This window comes from Homo sapiens, chromosome 7 (assembly GCF_000001405.40).
Source record: "Homo sapiens chromosome 7, GRCh38.p14 Primary Assembly".
Classification (NCBI taxonomy): domain Eukaryota; kingdom Metazoa; phylum Chordata; class Mammalia; order Primates; family Hominidae; genus Homo; species Homo sapiens.
The window spans coordinates 17851275-17878866 of NC_000007.14; the positions used below are offsets into that span (position 1 = coordinate 17851275).

General features: G+C 35.3%; 1 protein-coding gene across 15 annotated transcripts in view; it reads right to left on the minus strand.

Moving 5' to 3' along the window:
• SNX13 (sorting nexin 13) overlaps positions 1 to 27592 on the minus strand; it is a 149734-nt gene that overhangs the window by 60514 nt on the left and 61628 nt on the right. For all 15 annotated transcript variants that reach the window (NR_146932.2, NR_146933.2, NM_001350863.2 and 12 more), the window contains 4 exons: positions 24395 to 24516; positions 24206 to 24307; positions 22254 to 22342; positions 17133 to 17216 (listed from right to left, as the gene is read on the minus strand). Coding sequence is in view for 13 of the 15 variants with exons in the window: in NM_001350863.2 (NP_001337792.1) it covers positions 17133 to 17216; positions 22254 to 22342; positions 24206 to 24307; positions 24395 to 24516 (397 nt within the window). In the remaining 2 variants the exon portion in view is untranslated. The remainder of the gene's footprint in view (positions 1 to 17132; positions 17217 to 22253; positions 22343 to 24205; positions 24308 to 24394; positions 24517 to 27592) is intronic.

Below are 27592 nucleotides of genomic sequence, written 5' to 3' on the forward strand. Positions count from 1 at the left end.
ATGGAGGGCAAATCTTCTGTTATAGTACAAAGGTTTTAGCTTTCACTCTGAAGCAAGTCAGAAGTTATATTGGAAGGTTTAAACAGAAGAGTAACACTCTCTAACCTAAAATATAACACAACCACTGTGTTGTTGTATAAAAATAGAATAAAGGCAGAGCCAAAATCAGAAAAAAGGACCAGTTAATAAGACAAGTGAAATATAATATAGTCAGGGAGCAGGGTGGTGACAATGGTGGTGTGGTACAAAGTGTTTTATAGAATGTTTTCTGGTAAGACGGGTTTTGTAAAGACAATGCCAAAAGAATTTGCTGATAAATCAGACATGGCCGTGAAATAAAGAGAACATAGAACTACACTAACATCGTTGGCCTGACAACTGGAATAGTGGAGTTACCACTAAACAAGATGGAGAAAAAAATTAAGAGATGCAGCATTTGCCGGGCGGGGGGGGCGGGGAGTCGGGGAGGCAAAATATTATGAGGGTGTTTTTGGCAAAATTAAGTGTGAGATCCCATTAAATATAAAAATGGCCATTAGTATGCTTTTGAATATGATGGACAAGAGTTCAGAAAGGAAGACTACACAGAAATACGCATTTTAAAGTCACTGACATGGAGATGACACTTAAAACCATGAACATGGATGGGAATAATCAAGAGAATGAGGGTAGAGTGAAAAAAGAAGAGATCTAAGGACAGATACTCAGAAGATTTACTTACACAGCAAAAAGACTGAGAAAGGCCAAAAACGTAGGAAAAAAAATCAACAAACTTTGGTGTTCTAACAAGCCAAGTAAAGAAGTGTTTTAAAAAAGAAAATGACGGCCAGGTGCAGTGCTTGTAATCGCAGCACTTTGGTAGGCCAAGGCGGGCGGATCACCTGAAGTCAGGAGTTCGAGACCAGCCTGGCCAACATGGTGAAACCCCGTCTCTACTAAAAATAGAAAAATTAGCTGGGCATGGTGGCAGGTGCCTGTAATCCCAGCTACTAGGAAGGTAAGGCGAGATAATCGCTTGAGCCCAGGAGGCGGAGGTTGAAGTGAGCTGAGATCGTGCCACTGTACTCCAGGTTGGGCGCCAGAGTGAGATTCCGTCTCAAAAAGAAAAGAAAAGAAAAAAAGAGAGGGGAGGGGAGAAGAGAGGAAAAGAGGATAAACTGTGTCAAGCATTTCATATAGATGTAAAACAAAAATAAGGAATCTAAGAATTGACCATAACAATGGGGATTATTCTCTTTGACTTGTAAAAGTTTATTGGAGGAGTTCAAGAAAGAAAGAGCAGAGAGAAAATGTAGACAGCCAACAGTCAACCCTCTTATAAAGTTTTGCTGTAAAAAAAATAAGCAGGAGTAAAGAGTACTGCCTAAAATGGAATGTAAGATCAATGACTTCTTTCATCTTCTTTTTAAGATGAGAGAGATAATGACAAAGGTGTATGATAATAAGAATGATCATATAAAGAGTGAAAATGTGATGGTACAGAAAGAAAGTGTAAAATTGCCAAAGCAATAAAATGAAATTGTCTAGAAGGAGTTGGTTACAATGCTCACATAAAGGACTTGCTTTAGCTAGATACATGGATATTTCATCCACAGTAACAGAAGAAAATATAAAATATACATGCATAGATACAGGTTATGAATGTACGTGGTAACAGGATATTATGAAACATCTCTTTCAATTTCCTCAATTTTTCAGTGGAGAACTATGGTCATGAGCTAAGAGAAAAGATGTGAAAAAATATATTAAATGAAAGTGAAGGAAGTATAAAAGAGTTGGTCAGAAGAGTGGGCCAGGTAACATAACAGGAAAAATTTAATGATTGCAAGGCAAGAATAAGGGCACAAATGAGATGAGTGCTCATGAATTTAAAATGAGACCAGTGTAGGTTTCTTTTTTTTCATCAACCACATTCACCTGCTTAAAAATAGGAATGTAGAAGCAGTTATGTTGGATTTAACCAGTGTTGTGGTGTCAATAAGCAAATAAAGTTAAAGAGGTAAAGAAGTACAGGATGTTGTAGAGGGATTAATAACTATGACTGTAAATAAAATTTAAACTAAGCAAAGCAGGAAGAGTGGGCTATGAAAAGGTAATAGACTTCGGATGTTATCTATTTTAAACAAAAAGCCAAATAACTGAATACTGTAAAAGTACAAGACTATGTAAAAAGATGCATTACATAGAGGGGATCAATTATACAGTGGAAGTTGACTTCTAATTAGAAACAACAGAGGCAAAAGGAAAATAAAACAATTTTTAAAGTACTAAAAGAAAAAAATACAGCAATTCTACATCAATGAAATATCCTTCAAACTTGGCAGTAAATGAAAATATTTTCAGAGAATAAAAAGCTCAGATAATTTGTCACAAGAAAATTGGCAATAGGCCAGGCACAGTGGCTCACGCCTGTAATCCCAACACTTTGGGAGGCTGAGGCGGGTGGATCACAAGATCAGGAGTTCAGGACCAGCCTGGCCAAAATGGTGAAACCCCGTCTCTACTAAAAATACAAAAATTAGCCAGGCATGCTGGTGGGCACCTGTAATCCCAGCTACTTGGGAGGCTGAGGCAGAGAATTGCTTGAACCCGGGAGGCGGAGGTTACAGTGAGCCAAAATCGTGCCACTGCACTCCAGCCTGCGCGACAGAGCGAGAATCCATCTCCAAAAAAAATAAAAAAAGAAAAAAAAAGAAAAAAGAAAAGAAAATTGGCAATACACAGAATCCTAAAGAAAGTTCTTCAAAATAAAGAAAAATGACAACAAAACTGAAATTTGTACCTACAAAAAAGAATGAAGGGTACTGAAAACACTAAGTAAATGTATGAGTGTAAAAGATTTTTTTTCTGTTCTTTATTTAAGAAAGGGTGTTTAATGCAACAATTTGCATAGCACTGTGGAGTAAATTATGCATGCAGATGTAAAATATATAATGAAAAAGAACAAAGGATGGGGGCTAATTAAAATTATGCTACAGCAAGGTTCTTCATATTTCATATGAGGTGATAAAGTACTGCCCTCTAGGCATATGATGACAACTTAAAGAGGACACTAATTCCTAGAGCAACCACTAAAATAATAATGGTTATAGGAACAAGGAATAGCTAGAAAGTCATTAAAACAATAAAACAGAATACAGGAATACCTTGTTTCAATTCCACTGTGCTTGACTATGACACATCACACTGTGTTTTTTTTAACAAACTGAAGTTTTCTAGCAACGCTGTGTCCAGAAACTCTTACCAGCATATTTTTTCCAACAACATGTGCCCATGTCATGTGCATAGTCACATTTTAATAATTTTCAGAATATTTCAGACTTTTTCATTATTACTATATCTACTATGGTGATCAGTGATCTTTGATATTATTGTTTTGGTGCACTACAAAACAATCCTCATTTAAGATGACAAAATTAATTGATAAATTGTTTTGTATATTCTGACAGCTCCACAACTGACCATTCCTCCGTCTCTCTCCCTCTAGTAGGGCCTCTCTATTAACTCACACATAACAACATTGAAGTTAGAACAGTTAGTAACCCTACAATGAACTCTTAAGCGTTCAAGCAAAAGGAAGAGCCACATATCTTTCATTTTCAATCAAAAGCTAAAAATGACTAAGCTTAGCCAGGAAAATGTATCAAAAGCCAAGACAGACTTAAAGCTTGGTCTCTTGCACTAAACAATTATCCAATATGAGAATGCAAAAAATAAAAAAAAAGGTTCTTCAGGGAAATTAAAAGTGCTGCTCCAGAACAGATGAATGATAAATGTGAAGAACACTTATGGTGATATGGAGAAAGTATTAGTGGTAAAGGACAGAAAATCACACCAGACACAACATTCCCTTTGTCCAAAGCCTATTCCAGAGCAAGGCCCGGACTAGCTTCAATTCTATAAAGGCTGATAGAGGTAAGGAAACTGCAGAAGAAGAGTTTGAAGCTAGCAGACATTGGAGGTTTGAGGAAAGAAGCTGTCTCCATAACACAGAAGTACAAGGTGAAGCAGCAAGTCCTGATGTAGAAGCTATACGGCAAGTCATCCAGATTTAGTCTAGATCACTGATAATGATGGCTACACTAAACAGATTTTTCACTGTAGACAAAACAGCCTTATATGGAGAAAAGATGCCATCTACTACTTTCACAATTAGACAGTAAAAGCCAGTGTCTGGCTACAAAGCCTCAAAAGACAGAATGAGTATCTTGTTAGAGGCTAGTAGTGACTCTAAGTTGAAGCCAATGCTCATTTACCATTCCAAAAATTCTAGGGCCCTTAGGAATTATGCTAAATCTACTCTACCTGTGCTCCAGAAATGGAACAAGAAAGCCTGAATAATAGCATGTCTGTTTACAACACGGTTTACTAAATATTTTAAGCACACTGTTGAGATGTACCACTTACAAAGAGATTCCTTTCAAAATATTATTGCTCACTGACAACACACCTGGTCGCCCCAGAGCTCTGATGAAGGATATCAATGTTGTTTTCATGCCTACTAAAACAATATCCATTGTGCAGCCCAAGAATCAAGGAGTAATTTCACCTCTCAAGTCTTACTATTTAGGAAATGCATTTTTTGTAAGGCTATGGATATTTGCTCTAGATAGTGATTCCTCTGATGGATCTGAACAAAGTAAACTGATAACCTTCTAGAAATGACTCATTATTCTAGATGCCATTATGAATATTCATGATTCATGGGATGAGGTCAAATATCAACATTCACAGAAGATTGGCAGTTGATTCCAATCTTCATAGATGACTTTAAGGGGTTCAAGACTTCAGTGAAGGAAGTCACCACAGATGTGGTAGAAATGGCAAGAGAAGTAGAATTAGAAGTGGACCCTGAACAATATCAACAATGTAAACTGAAAATAAAAGTCAAAATGTGGGAGGATTAAAGTTTAAAGTTCTTTACAATTTTCTTTGTTTCTTTCTTTGCAATCAAAGTTAATTTGTCATCAGTTCAAAATAACTTGTTATAAATTTAAGGTATCTTTTGTAAGCCTCATGGTAATGACAATCCAAAAACCTGTAATAGTTAAACTAAAAAGCAAGAAATTAAAACATACTACCAGAGAAAAATCACTTAACCACAAAAGAAGACAGTAAGAAGGAACCAAGAAGTTACAAAACAACTAGAAAATAGTTACCTCCTTACCTATTAGTAGTAACACTAAATGTAAGTGGACTAAATTCTCCAATTAAAAGACATAGAGCAGCTGAATGTAGGCCAGGTATATGGCTCACACTTGTAATCCCAGCACTTTGGGAGGTTGAGGTGGGAGGGGTACTTGAGCCAGAAGTTTAAGACCAGCTGGGCAACATAGTAAGACCCTGTCTCTACAAAACAATAAAAAAATTAGCCGGGTATGGTGGCATATCCCTGTAGTCCCAGCTACATGTGAAACTGAGTTGGGAGGATCACATGAGCCTGGTTGAGGTTGCAATGAGCTGTGATCATGCCACCACACTCCAGCCTAGCTGACAGAGTGAGACTCTCTTAAAAAAAAAAAAAAAAAAGAAAGAAAGAAAGAAAAGAAAAAGAAAAAGAAAAAGAAAATTCACCTCAAGGAACTAGAAAAGCAATAACAAACCAAACCCCAAATTAAGATTTATAACAAAAATAAATGAAATTGAGACTAAGAAAACAATACAAAAGATTGAGTTGAAAAGTGATCTTTTAAAGGGAGAAACAAAAGCAATAAATGTTTACGCTAGACTAAGAAAAAAAGAGGCACCAAAAAAAATACAATCAGAGATGAAAATGGATATACTACAACTGATACAACTGAAATATAAAGAATCATCAGAGACCATTATAAATAATTATGCTCCAACAAACTGGAAAACCTAGAAGAACTGAATAAATTCCTCACACATAAAATTACCAGCAATAAACCATAAAGAAATAGAAAATCTGAACAGTCCAGTAACGAGTAATAAGACTGAGGCAGTAGTAAAAGTATCCCATCCAAGAAAAGCCCAAGACCTGATGGCTTCAGTGCTGCTAAATTCTACCAAATATTTTTAAAGGAACTAATATTGATTCTATTCAATGTTTCCAAAAATTAAAGAGGAAGGAATACTTTGAAACTCAATCTACAAGCCCAGCATTACTCTAACACCAACACCAGACAAGGACACAACAAAAAAAGAAAACTACAAGCTCATCCCTGATGAACACAGATGTCAAGATCCTCAACAAAATACTAGTAAACTGGCCAGGTGCGGTGGCTCACACCTATAATCCCAGCACTTTGGGAGGCCGAGGTGGCGGATCACCAGAGGTCAGGAGTTCAAGACCAGCCTGGCCAACATGGTGAAACCTCATCTCTATTAAATATACAGAAATTAGCAGGGCATGCTGGCGGGCATCTGTAATCCCAGTTACTCGGGAGTCTGAGGCAGGGAGAATTGCTTGAACCTGGGAGGTGGAGGTTACAGTGAGCTGAGACAGCGCCACTGAACTACAGAGCAAGACTCCATCTCAAAAAAAAAATACTAATAAACTTAATTCAACAACACATTAAAAAGATTATTCACCATGATTAAGTGGGTGGGATTCATCACAGAAATGCAAGAATGGTTCAAGATATGAAAATCGATAAGCATAATACATGATGTTAACAGAATGAAGCACAAAAAACATTATCATTTCAATAGATGTTGAAAAGGCATTCAATAAAATTCAACATGCCTTCAAAATAAAATCTCTCAAAATATTAGGTATAGAAGGAAAATACCTCAACACAATTAAACACCATATATGACAAACTCACAGTTAACATCATATTGAGTGGAGAAAAGCTAAAAGCTTTTCCTTTAAGAACCAGGAGAAAAAGGATGCCTACTCCTACAAATTTTATTCAGCCTAGTACTAGAAGTCCTACCCAGAGTAATTAGGCAAGAGAGAAATAAAGAGTATCCTAATTGGAAAGGAAAAAGTCAATTTGTCCTTGTTTGCAGACCACATGAACACCATTTAGAAAAACCTAAAGATTCCAAAAAATGTTGCAGAATACAAAATCAACATATAATACTGAGTATCATTTCCATTTGTCATTAGTAAACAATCTGAAAAATAAATCAAGAAACAAATCACATTTATAACAGCATCAAAAATATAAAATATTTATAAAAATTTATTTTAAAAATGTGAAAGATACATAAACACTAAAAATTACAAAACAATGCTGAGAGAAACTACAGAGGCTTCAATAAATGGAGAGATGCCATGTTCCTAGATAAGAAGACAAAATGTTAAACTATCCATTCTTCCTAAATTCATCTATAGATTCAATGTAATCACAGTTAAAATTCTAATAGGTTTTTAATAAAAACTAAACGTTTGATAAATTTTATGTGAAAAATAGTCAAAACAATCCTAGAGAAAAAGAACAAGTGTAAGAGACTCATACTGTCCCATTTCAATATTACGATAAAGCTAAAGTAATCAGAAAGTATGATATTTGCATATGGGTACACAAAGAGAGCAACAGAAAAGAAGAGGCCAGAATCAGAACCAAACATATTAGAGCAAACTGATATTTTAGTAAGGTGCCAAGGAAATTAATTTTATGAAAAAGTCTTTTCAACAAATGGTGCTAGAATATCTAGATGTCTGTATTTTAAAAATCAATCTAAACTGTCATATTCCACACACATAAAAATGTGAGATAAATCATAGAACAAAATATAAAAGTAAAAATTATAAAACTTAGCATAGGCAAATAACTTGGTAATCTTCAAACAAACAAGGATTTCCTAGAGAAGACCAAAAAAATACTAGCTGTGGAACCCAAATTGGGAAATTACGTTTCATCAAAACTTTAAAATTGTCATCAAAAGACATCACTGAACGAGAAAAAATACCAAGTCATAACCTAGGGAATAATATCTGCAATACATATATCTGATAAAGAACTTCTATGTAGAATATACGAAGCATTCTTACATTATCAATTTAAAAAAGATAAACGGGGAGAAAATGAGCACTTGAAAAAAGATACAAAACAGGCCAATAATCACAGGAAAAGACGCTCGGTATCATTAGTAATAAAGAAACTGCAAGTAACTACAACAAAATACCAATTCACACATACTAGAGAAGTTAAAATTTAAGATTGACAATGCTAAATGTTAATCAGAATGTGGAAAGACCAGAACTGTAAAATACTGCTACTGGAAAGGCAAAATTATAATACAACTCTGAAAGACAATTTGTTCATTTCATTCTTTTTTCTACTGTGGTCAAAAACAGAAAACATAAAATTTATCACCTTAAACAATTTAAGTTAACAGTGGTATAAACTATTAGAACATTGTTTTTAAAGAGTTCTCTGATCTTTTATGTTGAAAACTGAAACTCTAGATCCACTGAACAACAAATCCTGTTGGTTCTCTCCTCCCAGATCCCAGCAACCAACATTTTACTAAGAGTTTGACTACTCAAAGAGGGATCATGCAGTATTTGTCTTTCTGTGATAAGCTTATTTCACTTAACACAGTATTCTCAAGGTTCATCATGTTGTAGGATATACAGGATTTCCTTTTTTTTGGTTAAGGCTGAATAATATTTTACTGTATGTATATACCACATTCTCTTTATGCATTCATCTGTTGATAGACACTTAAGGTTATTTCCACCTCTTGGCTACTGTGAATACTGCAATCATGATTACACAAATTTCCCTTTAAGATCCTGTTTTCAATTCTTTTGGATAGAGACCTAGACGTGGGATTGTTAGATCATACGGTAACAATTTTGAGAAGAACCTCCAAACTGTTTTCCAAAGTGTCTGCACCATTTTACATTCCATCGATAGTGCACAAGAGTTTAAATTTTTCCACATCCTCGCCAATACCTGATATTTTGTTTTTTTTTCTTTTAATAGTGACCAAATGGTTGTAAGATAATTCATTTACTATTATGGTTGTGATTTGCATTTCCATAATGATTAGGGATGTTGCACATCTTTTCATATTACTGTTGGCCATCTGTATAACTTCTGTGGAGATACACTATTTTGCACATTTTTAAATACTTTTCTTTTTCCTGTTGTTGAGTAGTATGAGTTCTTTATATATGATGGATGTTAATTCCTAATCGGATATATGGCTTGCAAATATTTTCTCCCATTGTATAGGGTACCTTTTCACTCTGGTGATTGTTCCTTTGCTGGGCAGTTTTTTAGTCTGATACACTCCCACTCTCTATTGCTGTTATTTTTGTCTGAGTTTTTGGTATCATATCAAATAAATCATAATCAAATCTAAGAAGCTCTTCCCTTACATATTCTTCTAGGAGTTTTGTCATTTCAGATCTTTAATCCATTTTGAGTTAATTTTTACATGCAGGGCAAGGTTAAGGGTCCAACTTCATCCTTTTGCATGTGGCTATCCTGTTTTCCCAATACCATTTGCTGAAGAGATTATTCTTTCCCATTTTGTAGCCTTGATACAAATCTATGCAGATCATTTGAGTATGCACATGAGAACTTACTTCTCAGTTCTCTATTCTGTTCCACTAAGTCTACATTTCTATCTTTATGCCAGCACCATACAGTTAATTACTGTAGCTTTGTAATAGGTTTTGAAATCAGGAAGGGTGAGGTGCAAAGAAATATCATTGGGATTTTGGTAAGAATTGCACTGAATCGGTAAATTGCTCTGGGCAGTATGGCTGTCTTTACAATATTAGGTCACTTCATGAACATAGTATGTGTTTCCATTTATTTGTGTCTTTTTTTTGTGATGGGGTCTTGCTCTGTTGCCTAGGCTGGAGTACAATGGCACAATCACAGCTCACTGCAGCTTTGATCTCCTGGGCTCACATGATCTTCCCACTTCAGCCTCTGGAGTAGCTAGGACCACAAGTATGCACCACCATGCACAGATATTTTTATTCCTGATATTTTGTTGCACAGTACAATAGGGACTGCATTCTTGTTCAGCAGGAGAGCACCCCTTTCACCCCGCCCCTGCCAGAAATGTCAGGCAGCCATCAGGTGATGGGTTTGGCAGTTATCACACATACAGTTATCACACATACAGTTATCTCACACACACACACACACACACACACACACACACACACACAGTGTGATAACTGCAAAAATAATTCGCAGCCCACACCAGGAAGAGGCAATTTCCTGATGGTCCACAGCTGTCACACTAACGTAATCATTGGTCACAGGCACCAGAAAGTGGCAATTTCCCAAACAGATAAAAACACTTGAAATTGGTAACTAGCTTCCAATAAAATCTCAGGAAATAGTCAAGTGAGCTCGAGGATGTGCATTGAGAGACAAAATGACAGAGTATGACCTTCTGGTGGAATGCCCCCAGAAAAGTGAAGAAAGTCTCAGATGGACATGTGTACAACTTCCTAAACACACTGTGTGTGCTCACTTCCCAAGTGTAAGGAGGGCACCGTGCATGTGGGCAGCCCACCCAAAGGGAAGAATCATGAGAAAAGGGATGCAAGATGCCAGAAGTGGACCAGTACATAAAATCGTAGGATCAAGGTTAAACAAGGCACTTGACCTCCGAAGTGCCCACTTGGGTCTCTTCCAGTGTACTTTCCTTTCTTTCCTGCTATAAAGCTTTTTAACAAACTTCCACTCCTGCTCTGAAACTTACCTCAGTCTCTTTTTATGCCTCACATCTCTCAGTCAAATTCTTTCTTGAGGAGGCAAGAAGTGAGGTTTCTGCAGAACCATCAGTAATTCAGCTATTTGCTGCCCCCAACAGTTTGAAATATTTTTAGAATATAGGCTAAGCCCACTCCAAAATGTTTTTACTATATACGTAATTACAGTTAATGCAGTTAATACATGCTCAGAAACAGAAAACTGAACACTAAAAAATATCTGTATAGAGACAGAGGGGAATAAAAATAATTCCCAATCCCATGAGTGAGAGATAACCATAACATTCTGTTCAACTTGCTTCCATTTTTGGACCAGAGTTAATAATTATATCCTGATTATTTAAGTTTAGTATACAATATCCATTTTCTGTACTACTAAACAAATTTTATTATTATTTACCCTGCCTGAATTTTAACTTAAATGTTTATAAATTTTGCATGTAAGTTTCTACCGCTTAAAAACATACTATTTTATTACATAATCCATACTCATTGCAAGTGAAATGAAATACATAAAAAAGAAAAATTACTACCTTTCTATTAACATTTCAGTGTATATCCTATGAGAATTACAGTCATTAATAAGTATATTTTTCTAAAGAATGGGATATTTATCTAACATATATGCTAATTTTAGTTATCTTTTTCATGCAAAAGATATGAACAATTTTTCAAGTTCATAAAGATATACTATCATCACTTTAAATGGTTACATAGTATTCAATTGTATCAATGTGTTATTATATATTAACTAATCCCCTATTTGGGACATTTAAGTTGCTTTCCATTTTTTGCTACTATAACCAATGCTGCTATGAACGGTCTTAAATATACATTATTGGAGGAGGCCGAGCAAGGTGGCCAAGTAGAGCCCTCCAGCGATCATCCTCCCCACAGGAACACCATATTAAATAACCGTCCATGCACCTTCATAGGAACCATAAAATTAGGTGAGTGATCACAGTACCCGGTTTGAGCATAATATCAAGGAAAGTGGCATTCAAAAGGGTAGGAAAGACAGTCTCGTATTGCCTCCACCACCCCTCCCCTCAACCCTGGACAGCACAGCACAGAAAGAGAATCTGTGGGCTTGTGGGAGGAAGAGTGAAGTAAGTATAGAACTCTGCTTTGAAACTGAGAACTGCTCTGTCACAGCACAGGACAGAATTCCACTAGCACCCAGGGAAGGAGCATTTAGACCAGCCCTGAGCCAGAGCAGAATTCTCAGCTCAGGGGGAATAACTCGAATCCAGGTGGCTTCACTTGCGCTGACTGACATGGCCTGGGGCACTAAATAAATATGAGTGGCAGTCAGGCCACAAGCACTGCAGTCCTAGGGCAAGCCCTGGTGCTACATACACTCTTCTCAGCGGTCAGTAGACTTCGGGTATGACCCAGTGTAACACCAGCTATGGTGGCCAGCAGAGTGTCTGTGTCATCCCTCCACCACTTCCAGGCAGTGTAACTCCAGCAAAGACTCCTTCCACTCAGAGGAAGGAAAGGGAGGAATACAGAGGGCTGTGTCTTAAAACTTAGGTAACAGCTCAGCCGCAGTAAAACCAAAAACCAGGCAGATTGCTGAAACCCAAGAATATACATCTTTCCTCCTGGACAGCATTTCTAGACCCACCCTTGGCCAGAAGGGAAGCTGTTGCCCTGATAAGACAGACCCAGTCCCTAGCAGAATTCACAATCTGCTGACTAAAGTGGTCCTGGGCCATGAATAAATAGCAGCAGCAGCCAGGCAGCAGTGGCCACAGGCGTTAGGCAAGCCCCAGTACTGTGCTGCTCTGCAAGGTTTGAGGTGCAACTCTGCACGGTGCCAGCCATGGTGACCATGACAGTGTCCATGTCACTGTTTCCCCAACTCTAGGCAGCATTACACAGAAACAGACCCTTTGTAATTAAGAGAAAGAGAGGGAAGAGCATGAAAGACTTTGTCTGGTAACCTAGGGAATTCTCCTTTATCTTACTGAAGTGCATCATGGCAGTGTATTTAGGAGTCTCCAAGAGTCACAGTATTCCTGGGCTTAGGGATCCCACTAGTGCTGAAATAGCATAGTGACCATAGGCTTAGGTTACAACATTCAATCCCTTTTGACTTCATGAAAAGCCTTCTCAACAAGGATGGTACAAATAAGCCCAGATTGAGAAGATTAAAATAAATAATTAACTCTTCAATGTCCAGACATTAATGAACATCTACAAGCACCAAGAACATCCAGGAAAACATCACCTCAAGAAACTAAATAAGGCACCAATGACCACTCTGGAAGTGAAGGAAATATGTGACCTTTCAGACATGAAATACAAAAGAGCTGTTTTGAGGAAGCTCAAAGAATTTCAAGATAACAAAGAGAAGGAATTCAGAATTCTATTGAGAAATTTAACAGAGGCTGAAATAATAAACAAACTCTAGAACTGAAAAATTCAATTGATAAACTGAAAAATTAATCAGAGTATCTTAATAGCAGAATTGGTCCAGCAAAAGGAAGAACCGAGCTAAGACAGGCTATACGAAAACACATAGAGAAAAAAAGAATCTGAAAACAAATGAAGCATACCCACAAGATCTAGAAAACAGTGTCATAAGGGCTAATCTACGATTTATTGGCCTTAAAGAGGATGTAAAGAGAGAGACTGGGTAAAAAGTTTATTCAAAGAAATAATAACAAAGAACTTTTAAAACCCAGAAAAAAACATGAATATCCAGGTACAAGAAGGTCGAAAAACACCAATAAAATTCAATCCAAATAAGATGACCAAAGGCATGTAAATCAAACTCTCCAAGGTCAAGGATAAATAAAGAGTCCTAAAAGCTGCATAAAGAAGGAAAAGAAGGAGAAGGAGGAGAAGGGGGAGGGGAAAGGGAAGAAAGGGAAGGAGGAAGAGGAAGAGGAGGAGGAGGAGGAGCAGCAGCAGCAGCAAATAACACAAAGGAGCTCTGATACGTCTGGCAGCACACATCTGAGCAGAAACCTTACAGGCCAGGAGGGAGCGGGATCATTCATACATTCAAAGTGCTGAAGGAAAAAAAAATGTCTTCCAACCTAAAATATATCCTGCAAATTTATCTGTCAACTCTGAAGGAGAAATAAAGTCTTGGCCAGACAAACAAAAGCTAAGGGATTTCATCAATACCAGATGAGTCTTACTAGAAATCCTAAAGGGAGTTTTTCAATCTGAAAGAAAAGCATGTTAATGAGCAATAAGAAATCACCTGAAAGTATAAAACTCATTGATACTAAGTACACAGACAACTACAGAATAATACTGCAACTGTGGTGTACAATCCACTCATATCTTTAGTGAGATGACTAAAACACAAGTCAACAAAAAATAACTGATAAACAAATTTAGTAAAGCTTCAAGATACAAAACGAACATACAAAAATCAATAGTGTTTCTATGTGAACAATTTGAAAAAGAAAACAAGAAAAGTAATCCCATATAATCACAAATAAAATACGTAAGAATAAACTTAACCAAGGAAGTAAAAGATGTCTACAAGGAAAACTGTAAAACACTGATAAAAGAAATTGAATAAGACACAAAAAAAATGAAAAGATGCTCCATGTTCATGGATTGGAAGAATCAATATTGCTAAAATGTCCATAGTACAAAAAGCAATCTGCAAATTCAAAGCAACCCATATCAAAATACCAATAACCTTTTTCACAGAAATAGAAAAAATAATCCCAAAATGTATTAATATATGGAACCACAAAAGACCCAGAATAGCCAAAGCAATCCTAAGCAGAAAAGAACAAAGCTGAAGACATCACATTACTTGACTTCAAATTATACTACAGAGCTACAGTAACCAAAACAGCAGGGTACTGGCATAAAAACAGACACATAAACCAATGGAACAGAATAGAGAACACAGAAATAAACCCACACATTCACAGTAAATTCACTTTTTACAAATGTGCCAAAAATACACATTGGGGAAAAAAACAGTCACTTTAATAAATGGTGCCAAGACAACTGGATATCGATACGCAGAGGAATGAAACTAGACCCCTATCTCTCAGCATATAGAAAAACCAATTTAAAATGGATTAAAGACTTCAATCTAAGATGTGAAACTATAAAACTACTAGAAGAAAACAGTGGGGAAACAATCCATGACATTGGTCTGGGCAAAGATTTCTTACATAAGACCTCAAAAGCATAGGGAACCAAAGCAAAAATGTACAAATGAGATCACATCAAGCTAAAAGGCTTCTGCACAGCAAAGGGAATGATCAACAAAGGCAAGAGACAATCCACAGAATAGGAGAAAATATTTGCAAGCTACTCATGTGACAAAGAAATAATAACCAGAATATATAAGGAACTCAAACAACTCAATAGGAAAAAAAAAAAAAGAATCCCATTAAAAATGGGCAAAAAGATCTGAATAGACATTTCTCAAAAGGTAACATATAAATGGAAAACAGGTTATTAAAAAATGCTTAACAGCACTTATCATCATAGAAATACAAACTACAATGAGATACTATTTCACTCCAGTTAAAATGGCTTTTAACCAAAAGAAAGGCAATAACAAATGCTTGCAAGTATGTAAAGAAATGGATAAAGAAAACATGGTACATACACAAAATAGAATATTATTCAGCCATTAAAAAAAGAATGAAATATTGACTGAGGGACATTATGTTAAGTCAAATTAACCATGCACAGCAGGCCAAATATGTGGGAACTAAAAACAAAACAAAACAAAGACTGAACTCATGGAGATACAGTGTCAAATAATGTTTCTTTACCAGATGCTGAGAAGGGAAATAAAGAAGGAATGGCTAATGGGTATAAAACACAGTCAGACAGAAAGAGTAAGATCTACCATTCAGTAGCACAACAGGGTGGCTACAGTTAACAATAATTTATTGTATATTTCAAAATAACCATAGGAGTGGAATTGGAATGTTCCTAACACAAAGAAGTGATAAATGCTGATCTGATGGATACCCCAATTATCCTGATTTGAACATTATACATTGTATGCTTATATCGAAATATCACATGTACTCCATAAATATGTACAACTCTTACATATCCATAATTTTTAAAAATTAAAAACTTGTTAAAATTTTTAAATACAGATTGTCACAAATTTGATTATCACTTTAAAATAACTTCTTAGGAGTTCCTAGCCAAAGGAGACTCACTTTTTTATAGTTTTAATTGTGCAGATATGTGTATTTTCAAAGCTTTTATAGTGCCTAATGCAAAGTCTAAAAAAGTTCACAGAGGAAAAGAAGAATCAAGTTCCATGGTCTCCAGGAAAGGCTCCAGAAGTACACAATTAATAACAACTTTTGTCTGCAGGTACTACAATCTGGTCGAAGGGTAAACCTTTGCAACAACAAAAATAAAACAACAGCAGCCAGGCACAATGGCTCACACCTGTAATCCCAGCACTTCGGGAGGCTGAGGCAGGCAGATCGCTTGAGCTCAGGAGTTCATGACTGGCTAGGGCTACATAGCAAAACCATGTCTCTACCAAAAGTACAAAAAATTAGCGGGATGTGGTGGTGCATGCCTGTGTCCCAGCTACTTGGGAGGCTGAAGCGGGAGGATCACTTGAGCCAAGGAGGCGGAGGCTGCAGTGAGCCAAGATTGTCACTGCACTCTAGCCTGGATGAAAGAGTGAGATCCCATCTCAAAAATAAATAAATAAAAATAAAGTAAAAAAAAAAATAAAACAATGGCAAGTCTGACAATGCCTAAGGGAAATCAAAGAACAATCAAGTAATTCTTTCTTAAGAAAGCTACACTGAGTTAAAGGAAGACAAATGTAGAGTAGAAATCCCAGATTTAAGAAAATAAATCAAAGATCTAGAAGTAGGTATCAAAGTATTCCCAGAAGGTGGCCCATTTACAATTCTTCCTTGACCATGAGTTTATTAAGGAAAAGGATACATTATAAAGAAAAAAAAATAGGGCTTGTGGACTTAGTAATAACTAAGTCTTTGATATGTCTGACAGAAGAAAACTATTGAGTTAACTACTACAGACACTAGGCAACTTACAGAAACATCTAGAATCCAGATCTTCTGGTTCTCATTCTACTATTCTGTCCTCCATATTTTCCCCATTATACAGTATAAAATGTGAGTTACATGTCAAGTAGTTCAAATCCCAAGTTGTATTTAAAAATCAAATAGTAGCCATTAAAAATACTCATCATCTATAGACACAGGTAGTAAAATATTCTATTTTTTTAAAGAAATAGTAGTAGCACCATAACCGCAAGGAAGATAATCAACAAAATTCTTAAAGAGAATTTGGCCAACACATTCAAAATATAAGCAAATAAAAATATTGGAAACACAGAGATTACTTCAGAAACATTTTTACTTAATTTCTTTAATAAATTACTGCTTAAACACCCTATCTCCCAACTATATTTTTACATTTCAAAAATTATTTCTAAAACAGAGTTGTAATTTTAAAAGGCACCTACCATCCATATGACATACTGATTAATATAATCAGGATCACTGAGTTGATTTATTAATGGAAGAAGAATTCCTCGTGCAAGGATTTCCTGAAAAAAAAGTAAATAACAAAAACAAATTTAATCTATTTCTGAAATCAACAGCATAATGTAAATATTCTAACACAATGCTGTTACTTAAGAAAAGTATGATATACATGTAACTAGGACTTGATAAGCAACACAGTCTTATAAAAAGATGAACTACTATGCCTCAGTTTAGATAAATGAGATACAGTTACCTGTATCAACTTGGACACATCTCCACAGTAACAACTGTGGAGTGAAATAAAGCAAGATGATACCTCTAGTATGTTAGCATTGATGTCAATTTTAAAAAGACAAAATATAAGACTAACAGTGTTTATGGATTCATTTATCTTTATTAAAACTATAGAAACAGAAAAGAAAAGGGAAGGATACAAACTGATTTTAGAACTACTACCAAGGGAGGAAACGGCAACTACAGTACATTATCAACACTGGTTACATCTAGGTGGTTGGTACATAAATGTCTACTGTATTATTCTCTATGCTTCTCTGTGTTTGAATAGTTTCCTAATAAACATTTTTAAAATAATAGATATGTTAATCGATTCAACATTCTCTAAAATCTACCTTCCCATTCTTTGCAGTTGTTTATGTTCCTATGCAGAACAATTGACTGCAGAATCAATTACCCTATTAAATAAATCTTGATCATTCCAACAGAAATATGCTTGAAATACTCATGCCCTGTATCTACAGCATTTAACACTTGATATTTTCTCTGTAATTATAAGTCTTATATTTTTCTAATAGAGGCAACTATCTAGGAAACCTCCATATGAGTGGAATTGGTCAACTTATCTACTGAATTATTTATTCTCAAAAATATTTACCTTCCTCATCCCATCTTCTCAAGGTCATTGTTTTAAACATGGCAGGCATTTGATAAATGAGTAGAAAAAAAGAAACTAAGAATTTAGTAGATTCTATAAATACAATGATTTCACCTGGTATTACCCTTTAGTGCCAGTAATATATAAATTTATGAACCCTAATTTCTTAAGAATATTGGGGGAGGTTAAATAACAATAAGCTTAACAGGATGTATAATTTTTCTAAGTAAAGGATCACAGAAGGTGGTCTTTATTTTTAGTAAACTGTACAAGTCTCTTTTGTAAGCTGTACAAGTCTCTGCCAACTATTACCCCCATGATGAATCAGTATTTCCAAAAAGCACTAATGGAGGCACCAGTAATTTTTTTGAAATGTCTTTGGAGACACTTTGCAGTCTGAAATGACAAAAAATTGCTTCTTTCAAGGTTAGTTTTAGTCTCCTACTTCTTCAAAATTGTATTTACGTATGTAATTCCTTCCTTCAAATTATGTCTCTGGCCACATGTTCAAATTTTAAAATGCACTTTGTTAGGAGAAAATTTACTCACACACACACAGACACACACACACACACACACACACTTTTTCCAATGCTTCTTTTCAAAAGGAGAAAAAAACACCTGGGGAAAATTTTTGATTAAATTTTGTGTTTCTTATTAGTTGGTGCAATGAGTCGATTTGTATTAGAAAACTTCTAATCTGTCACATTAAAGGGTTTGGTTAGTCAAGGGCTAGTCATATGACTCAAGGTCCTAGTGAGAGCTCTAAATATTCCAAGCAAGTAGGCACTTCCACATAATTCCTACTTTAAGACCTCCAATTTTTAGAAGACAGCAATGTTTGTCAAACATGGGGCCTAAAAGATACAAAATCATTGAAGCCATATCTTTAAAGGAATAAAACATAGTAACGGCAAGAAAGTAGAGGCAATTAAATAGCAATTATCTCAAATACTGTGACTTACACAATCTATACAAAGTATCCGTACAAAGAAAATTAAAACTCTTTCGTCTGTTATTTAATCTAAACAAAAATATCCTGTGAGAAATTTTAGAATTACTGACAAAAGAAAACAAAGAAAGAGCTAAAGGAAAAAAAACTGACTTGCTGAATGCATGGTCTGCAATTATCCTCACTTAATTAGATTCAACCAAAAAGTAATAAAATACCGGCCTAAAAGAGAAATTTATTTTAAAAAAATGTGCTCATTAAAATCCTACTTATTTTAAATAACTTCCTGTAACAAGGCAGATTTTCATTCATGGCTCTTAGGAGTCAACTTAATCTTCAAGAAGCTGCAGTAGCACATGCACCACAGCCATCAAGAGGGTAAATGGGTTTCCTTTTGCATTAAAACTGATTGTCTGAGCATCTGCTATGTGCCAAGTATCACGTTAAGCACTAAGTATATATTTATGATAAATACAGATATAATCTCTGTCCTCATTAGAGTTACAATTCATCTGGGAGAAAGAGGTATCAAATTAACAACCAAATTACCATCTTAAAATATGGTAAATGCTATGAAGGAAAACAATTGGATACTATCCATAATAACAGGGAATTATGAGGGAGATATAGATTGGGTGGTCAGGGAGGGCATCTCTAAGGAAGCGACATGTAGTGAGATATGAAGAATGAATACAATTTAGCTGATAGAATAAGAGGAATCGGGTTTTCTTTTTTTTTTTTCTTTTTTTTTGAGAGGGAGTCTGGCTCTGTCGCCCAGGCTGGAGTGCAGTGGCGCGATCTCAGCTCACTGCAAGCTCCGCCTCCCGGGTTCATGCCATTCTCCTGCCTCAGCCTCCCGAGTAGCTGGGATGACAGGCGCCTGCCACCATGCCCAGCTAATTTTTTGTATTTTTAGTAGAGACGGCGTTTCACCGTGTTAGCCAGGATGGTCTCGATCTCCTGACCTCGTGATCCGCCCACCTTGGCCTCTCAAAGTGCTGGGATCACAGGCGTGAGCCACCGCGCCTGGCCAAGGAATCATTCTTAACAGAGAAAAAAAGGACATGAGAGGCAGGGAGGAAAATGGCACTTTTGGGGGAAAATGCCAGTGTGGCTGGAGTATAGTGACCACTAACAAAGACCATCCTTGACCAAACTTAGGCTCCTCTGAATCCTCCACCCATTTATGCCTTAACCTTTGAGTTTCCATGTCTGTTCATCTTTTCATTGCAGTTTTAGCAAGAATTCTATCAAGTGGGTTTAGCCAAACCTCCCTCACCTTAAATTCCTCAGTCCCCACCCTTTGTGTCTGAACATCCCATCCTGCTTTCAACAAGAATCCTATTAAGTCTGTTTAACCAGAATTCCCACTACATCTGATGTTTCCTTTTAGTAATTTTCCATCCACTGATCCCCAGCCTGCTCCTTGGCTATAAATCCCAACTTGTTCTTTTTTATTCAGAATTGAGTTCGGTCCTAAACCGAGGTCACTTTTCCCCTACTGCAACAGTTGCTGGATAAGGTCTGTTTTTTACTACACTTACTGTCCAGTTCTGGTTTTCCTTGACATTGCTTGGCATGAAGGCTAGAGAGGTAAATAAGGCCACACTACATGCGAACCTATAAGCCTCTTGAAGGACTTGAGATCTGAAAAATTTACTAGATGATCATACCACTTACTAGGATGGAGAGAAGACTAAAAGGCACACAGGATATGGAGGTAAGAATAAGACTTCCACTTTGGACATTTCAGTTTTAAAAAGCTGTGAGTCACTCAAGTGGTGATTTCAAGAGGGCAGCTCAGAGTTGCCCGGAGCTCAGAAGGTAAATCTGAAATAAAGCTATAAATTTCAAACGCATTAGCATTTGGAAAGGCGTTTAAAGCCACAGTAACGGATGAGCAAGAAAAAGTCTTGGGACTTAAGATCTTGAATAATCAAAATTTAAGCAGAAGAGAAGTTAAGGAGTATAAACATGACTAAAAAGGAAAGCAAAGGTGACTAAAAATGAGACCAGTGACATGAAAGAAAGGAGAAAATAGAGTTTCAATAAGGAAAAGATGGCAAGACATGCGAAATAATGCTGAGATTCCACGTAACAGTAGCTGGCTGGAGTAATATATAAACAGATTATTATGCCAAATGGATACTCTGCATGAACAAATGCTATACCTGACTAGTACTATCTTCCTTAAGTGGCAGATATGAATCTAGTGATAGACATCCAGGTACTTGCCACCCGTCATAATGACCAGCCCAAATAATTGGCCTTAACAATATACAGTTAATGTATCAGGCTCCTCCCATCAAAACCAAGCACTTTCTATTACTTCACATAAGTACCATTAACATACCTGAGAAGTACACTGAACCCCAAGCTAGGTAGATGTTAGGAAATTGTATGGTATGGCTTATAAACAATAACATGCAAGCATAAAAGCAAGTCTCAGGAATTGTTATCTATTTTGCAGGACAGACTAAAGAGATCATAAGCTTTTGTTTTTAGGAAAATTCAAAACTTTTCACGTTACGCATTCAACCAGGACATGTTCTTGTGTAGCTAGCCTTTCTAAATCATTACCAGCAGCCAAAGACAAATGTTATTCCTTTAAATTTACACACAGAACTTTACTCTGAAGGTTTATACTCAGGGAATAACAAGTCCAAGACTACTATTCTCATCTGACATTAATTTTCCAATTGCTAAAAAACATAATCTTAACTGTACAGTTTTTAAAGTTTCTGTCCAAAAATGTTATTTTTATCTAACCTGATTTAGATAACACTAGGGTATAAGAAAATTTAAAACAAACTTTTGTCATAACCAAAAACCAAAGCACCTAACTATCAGCCAGAGACTTCTGGGGGATTAGTGGGAGGTTTCCATGAACCTGAAGTTCCCCCGAAGCTTGGGTTTCAGGTGACCCTTTCAACACCATTTTCATAATAATGCTAAGACATTATTTAACTTTTCACTCTTGTTCTTTCATGTACACACAGTGACCTTTACAAAGTTACATAATGCTATGATGGTATCGAGCTATTAGGTAATGAAATACATGCTTGCATATTTTCATGTTTTAAAAATTTCTTAGTCTTCACTTGTGTAAATATTTTAAAGAAAACTCACATAAACAAAAGCTCTTTGGAGTCTTCAATAATTTTTAAGAGTGTAACAGGGTCTTAAGACAAAAATTTTGAAAACTACTGCTCTACATTTTTTTGCAGGTATGATATGGTATGAGTTTAAGCTTACCCTGACAAAGTATCGCATGATCTTGTTCTGGAAATCTCCAGGAGGTAGCAATAAATATAGTAAGACCTCACACAAATCCCTTAGGAATCCTAAAAGTAGAAAAAGTAGCTATCATAACATTAGAAAATATAAAGTCTACACTTCCTCTTGATATATAAGATACATTTAAAAAGGCAGAAATAACCAGTTCCCTGGTTACAATGGCTTATTTTAGTAATTAGTACACATCAGTATTCATTAAAAATTCCTTCATTATTCTCCAAGTAGTAACTATTCATTAATCAACTTAATTTTTTTTAATTTTGCTGTTTTAACCAGTTTTTTGAATCATAAAAAAATTTCGTTACAAGTCTTTTTTCCCAAAATAGTTTTAGATGGACCAGGTACTCTGTAATTCTACCACACGTTAATTAGCTTTCCATACTTAAAAGTTATTCACACATATAAAAACATAGCTGTAATTCTTCTTTCAAGAAAACACCTCCATCATCTCAGCAGGCTATAACAAAGGAAAAAAAGAGTATGCTCTTCTATTCTGCTGATTTAAGAGAGCTCAACTTACATAAAAGTATTGCACATCAGTATATCTATGTGTTACATTCTAAGTTACTGTAATATAAATTGACCCTTGAACAAAGAGTCTGAACTGCTCAGGTCCACTTATATGTGGATTTTTTTCAGTAAATATATTGGAAAATTTTTTAGAGATTTGTGACAATTTAAAAAACTCAAGAGATGAACCGCATAGCCTAGAAATATCAAAAAAATTCACAAAAAGGTATGCCATGAATGCATAAAATATATGCAGATACTAGTCTATGTGTTAATCAATTGTTTACATTATTGATAAGGGTTATGGTTAACAGTGGGCTGTTAGTATTTAAGTTTTTGGGGGTCAAAAGTTATGCACAGAATTCTGTCTGCACAGGGAGTCAGTACCCGAAACCCTCTCACTGTTCAAGTGTCAACTATACTTCTTAACAGTGCTAATAAACTGGCCATTAAAACCTGAATTATACAATAAACATAAAAAGAAAAGGCAAAAGAAGAAAGGAAGAACAAAGAAATAAATAAAAATATTTAAAACATTTTCAAAATCTAAGAAAACAATTTCAACAACTAGAAGGGCTTTTCTATAGTTGTTCCTATGCTGACACTTTCTGGGAATATAATTGCATAAGTGATCCTCTTAATTTAAAACTGTGCCAATTAACAAAGACTTAATACTTGCAAAACTGGGAAGATAACGTCCTCAGCTAAAACTTGTCTAGTGTAAACTCCTACCAATAAAAGACAAGCCCGTTGAAATCTATAAATTTTATTTGAAATCACTGTATCATTCCCTTAGGAAATATTTTATGGTAACAGGTATACTTCTGAAGCAAAAATAATAAATTCAAGAGGAAGAGAAATTACTACAGATAAAAAAATTCAGTCATAAAATGTTTGCGTTTGCTATATTTTAAAAGTAGATTGATAATTTCTTTTCTTTTTTTTAGACAGGGTCTCACTCTCGTCACTCAGGCTGGAGTGCAATAGCATGATCACAGGTCACTGCAGCCTTGACTTCCCAGGCTCCGGTGATTCTCCCACCTCAGCCAGCTGATGTTTCGTACTTTTAGTAGAGACAGGGTTTCGCCATGTTGCCTAGGCTGGTCTTGAACTCCTGGACTCAAGCAATCCAGGCCCTTCGGCCTCCCAAAATGATGGGATTACAGGCATGAGCCACTGCACCCAGCCAGGACCAGTTAATTATTAAAGATGACCTTTAAAGAAGAAAACAGAATCTGGAAACTACTTTTAAGAGTTACAAAATAAAATAAAATGAATAGCATCTTTACTATGCTACCTGCCCTAAGTAAGAATAATTTTACCCTTAGATTTTTTCACTGGTTCTGCTAACTTGACTCTAGCCAGCTACTATTGTCAAAAAAGTTAAATTAAAAGAAAACCTTCTTCATCTTTGGGGGAAGTGCACACTAGATCACGGCAAACCTCCTTCTCCATTTCAACTTCAACTTCAAAGAAGGTATCTACAAGATCTTCTGCTGTACCTAAAGAAAAACAATTCAAGATATATAAAATGATGAAAGGAAAACAGATTTTCAAATCCTAGTTTTCAAATGGAATAAAGATATTACCTTTCACTTGATCATCTTTCTCTGTTATTTTCTGTTGAGCCTTTCTGAATACTCGTAAGTGTGTGCCAAAGTCATCTACAATGCGTGTAGTAAAATAAGGTTGCCAGTCTATTTCTTTTGACCTTATAAAAAACACATTACATAAAAGGATTATATAAATGCTTTATCAGAAAATATAAATTCATTTTAATGACTACTGACAAACAACATGATTATCTGAGACTGTAAATTTAAATTGAGATTTTCATTCATTATTACCTGTTAGTACTGTTTCACAAGATTCAAAGTAAATCAAATCTACTTCACTAAGTCTTCTAACAATATTACTTGAATTATTTTATGTGCCAAAGCTTAAAACTACTATCTAAAGGTTTAAAATAGAAAAAGAAATTAATTTTTTCCAGTTAAATTTGAAGTGAATCTGACAACAGTATATCATGTAATTTCTCAGCCCCAACATAAGAATACATAAGGAATTCTGAATAGTTTTGTTTGCTTTAAAAGAGCATTTCAAACATTTCTTGGTTTCTTCTGAACTCTTTCTGAATTCTCCACATTCATCTTTTTAGCTATGCAACACATGTTCTGAACGTTCTGTTTGAATACACTAGCACTTAAAAACTTGGCCATGGCCAGGCACAGTGGCTCACGCCTATAATCCCAACACTTTGGGAGGCTGAGGCAGGAGGATCACTTGAGTCCAGAAGTTCAAGACCAGCCTAGTCGACATGGTGAAACTGTCTCTACAAAAATTACAAAAAATTAGCCAGGCATGGTGGCATGCACCTATAGTCCCAGCTGCTAGGGAAGCTGAAGTGGGAGGATCACCTGAGCCCAGGAGGTCAACGCTGCAGTGAGCTGTGACCACACCACTGCATTCGAGCCTGGGAACAGAGCTATCTCATCAAAAAAAAAAAAAAAAGCCTTAACCATTAGAAATAACTAATTACAAGGAAATGGTATAAAGAATGATATAAAATATCACACATATAAAAGCCTTTAGAATACTCATGAAAAAGGTGATTACTAATTTTAAGAAGTCACCTAGTACTCTATCTCAAAAGCAACAGACCTCAAAAGATACTGTTAATTCAGTATACCAGTGTAACAGGTAAAAAACACAATAGATAACTCAAAAACAATTTATATCTCTCCTTGGATTGGGTGATTTTTTAATATAATGTTCTTTTTCATAAAATCGCACTAAAATTAATTCACCCAGGAACATACCAAGTAGATAGAAAACGAAGAGTCTATTCATGAAGATGCTAGACAATGGAGGAACCAAAAAAGTATGCCATAATTCATTATGGTAATTACCCACACATACAATAAAAAGGCTAGTGAAGATGCTGACTTAATTACTGTTACTTTTTGAAAAAAAAAAAAAAAAAAAAAAAGCCTTAAAGAGTCAGTATGATGTTGAAAAATAAATGGCTGTTTTCAAGTAAAAAAATAAGTTATTAACACTAAGGTTTGTTGTATACATGAAACTAAAGAGAAAGCCGTAAGTATATGAACACGAAAACAAATTAACATAAAAAGGTGGATCCCTAAGCTCAGTAATCCGAGGATGAATTAATTAACATTATTTAGAATATAAGAGCCATGCATATAAGCATATAACTAAACTTGGTAACAATATTCAGTCTCAACATAAACCTAAAATAAAAACTTAAACCTAGCAGTCTCTAGAAACTCTTTTTTCTTATTTAAAAAAATAAATCACAATCTGTGTAAGCATCTTTCAAAAATCTTTACATGAATATTTATTCAAAATCATCCATACTGAAAATTTTATAAAAACAAAATTTACTTAGTATAGGCCATAGCTCATTTAATCCATAAAAGGTTCATTTTGACAAATTTAGAAGAAAGCAGAATATATAATATTTCAAGTTACATCTGTCCTGTTTCATGCTACAATGCTGTTTATTTAATTTACTGAAACTTTCAAACAAAATAAATTTTACCAATTTAGAAGACATTTTAAATCCATCTTGATTCATTATAGAGGATGTAATGACATTTTAAACGAATAAAATTATCAAGCAATGCAAATACATACAAAATTATTTTAAATTTGATGTACAGATTTCTATTTTCAATACAGAAATATGTTGAGGGTAGGAAAAATAGGAAAAACAGTACCGATATCTTATCTCTTTCTGAGGTTATTTTCCTTCTGCTTGACTTATTTCCACTGACTTCATGCAAACTTAATATAAATCTCAAAAGAACTTTCTAGATTAGGAAGAACAATAGCACACTTCTTCCCATTTATAAATTAGGATATATACTAACAATTTCTAATAATGTTTGTCTTAACAAAATTGGAAAATACTTTGATGACAGTGAAGTACTTTCTAAAATCATGACATGATAAATATGTAATAAATGCAATGTGAAAATGAGTAAGAAATATTTCATTTATGTAATAGCCATACTTCTACTGCATTTACTACATAGCTTTCTATTAGAGCTCTTAGTATCAATTATTCTTACATTATGCCAACAGTCAAAACTCTTTTTCATTTTGCTTAAAATATTCCCCCATAGAATTCTTAGTAAAACAACCGGGCTATTACATAATGCATCTTATTACCGACACTTGAGCTTTATTATTACTAATAAGCTGTAATTTCTTGAATTTAAAAATAAAAGAACACAATCCCTATATGGCCAAAAAAAGTGATACAATTAACCCTAGCTTGAAAACATTTATAGTAGGCCCCTGAAGCTTATATATCTTGACAGAATGGTTGCAAGAAAAAATTAAGAAGGTTAACTAGGAATGCAAACAACTAATGAAATTTTAACTGAAAGCACAAAAGCAAAACAAAACTATAAAGTGTGTCTCTCTGAACATAAATTTTGCATGCCTTCATCTCTGTCTCTAATGCCACCATCGTATCCCTCGCCACCATTCTACTTACAGGTCTCCCACATCCACTCGTTTCCCTTGCATTCCAATTTCCATAAAGCAGTCAAATTTTTAAAATAGGATATATACAGCTTTAAAACTGCAATAACACCCCATTATTATTAGGACTAAGCACAAACACCTTCTCTAAGATCTTCCATACGGAAAGCCCTTGTGTATTTCCTCATCACCATCTATTTCACCCTCTCCCTTCCTCTTTGTTATGCAGATTCACAGGCTTTCTTTCCATTTGTCAAGTGCAAATATGCCCCTTT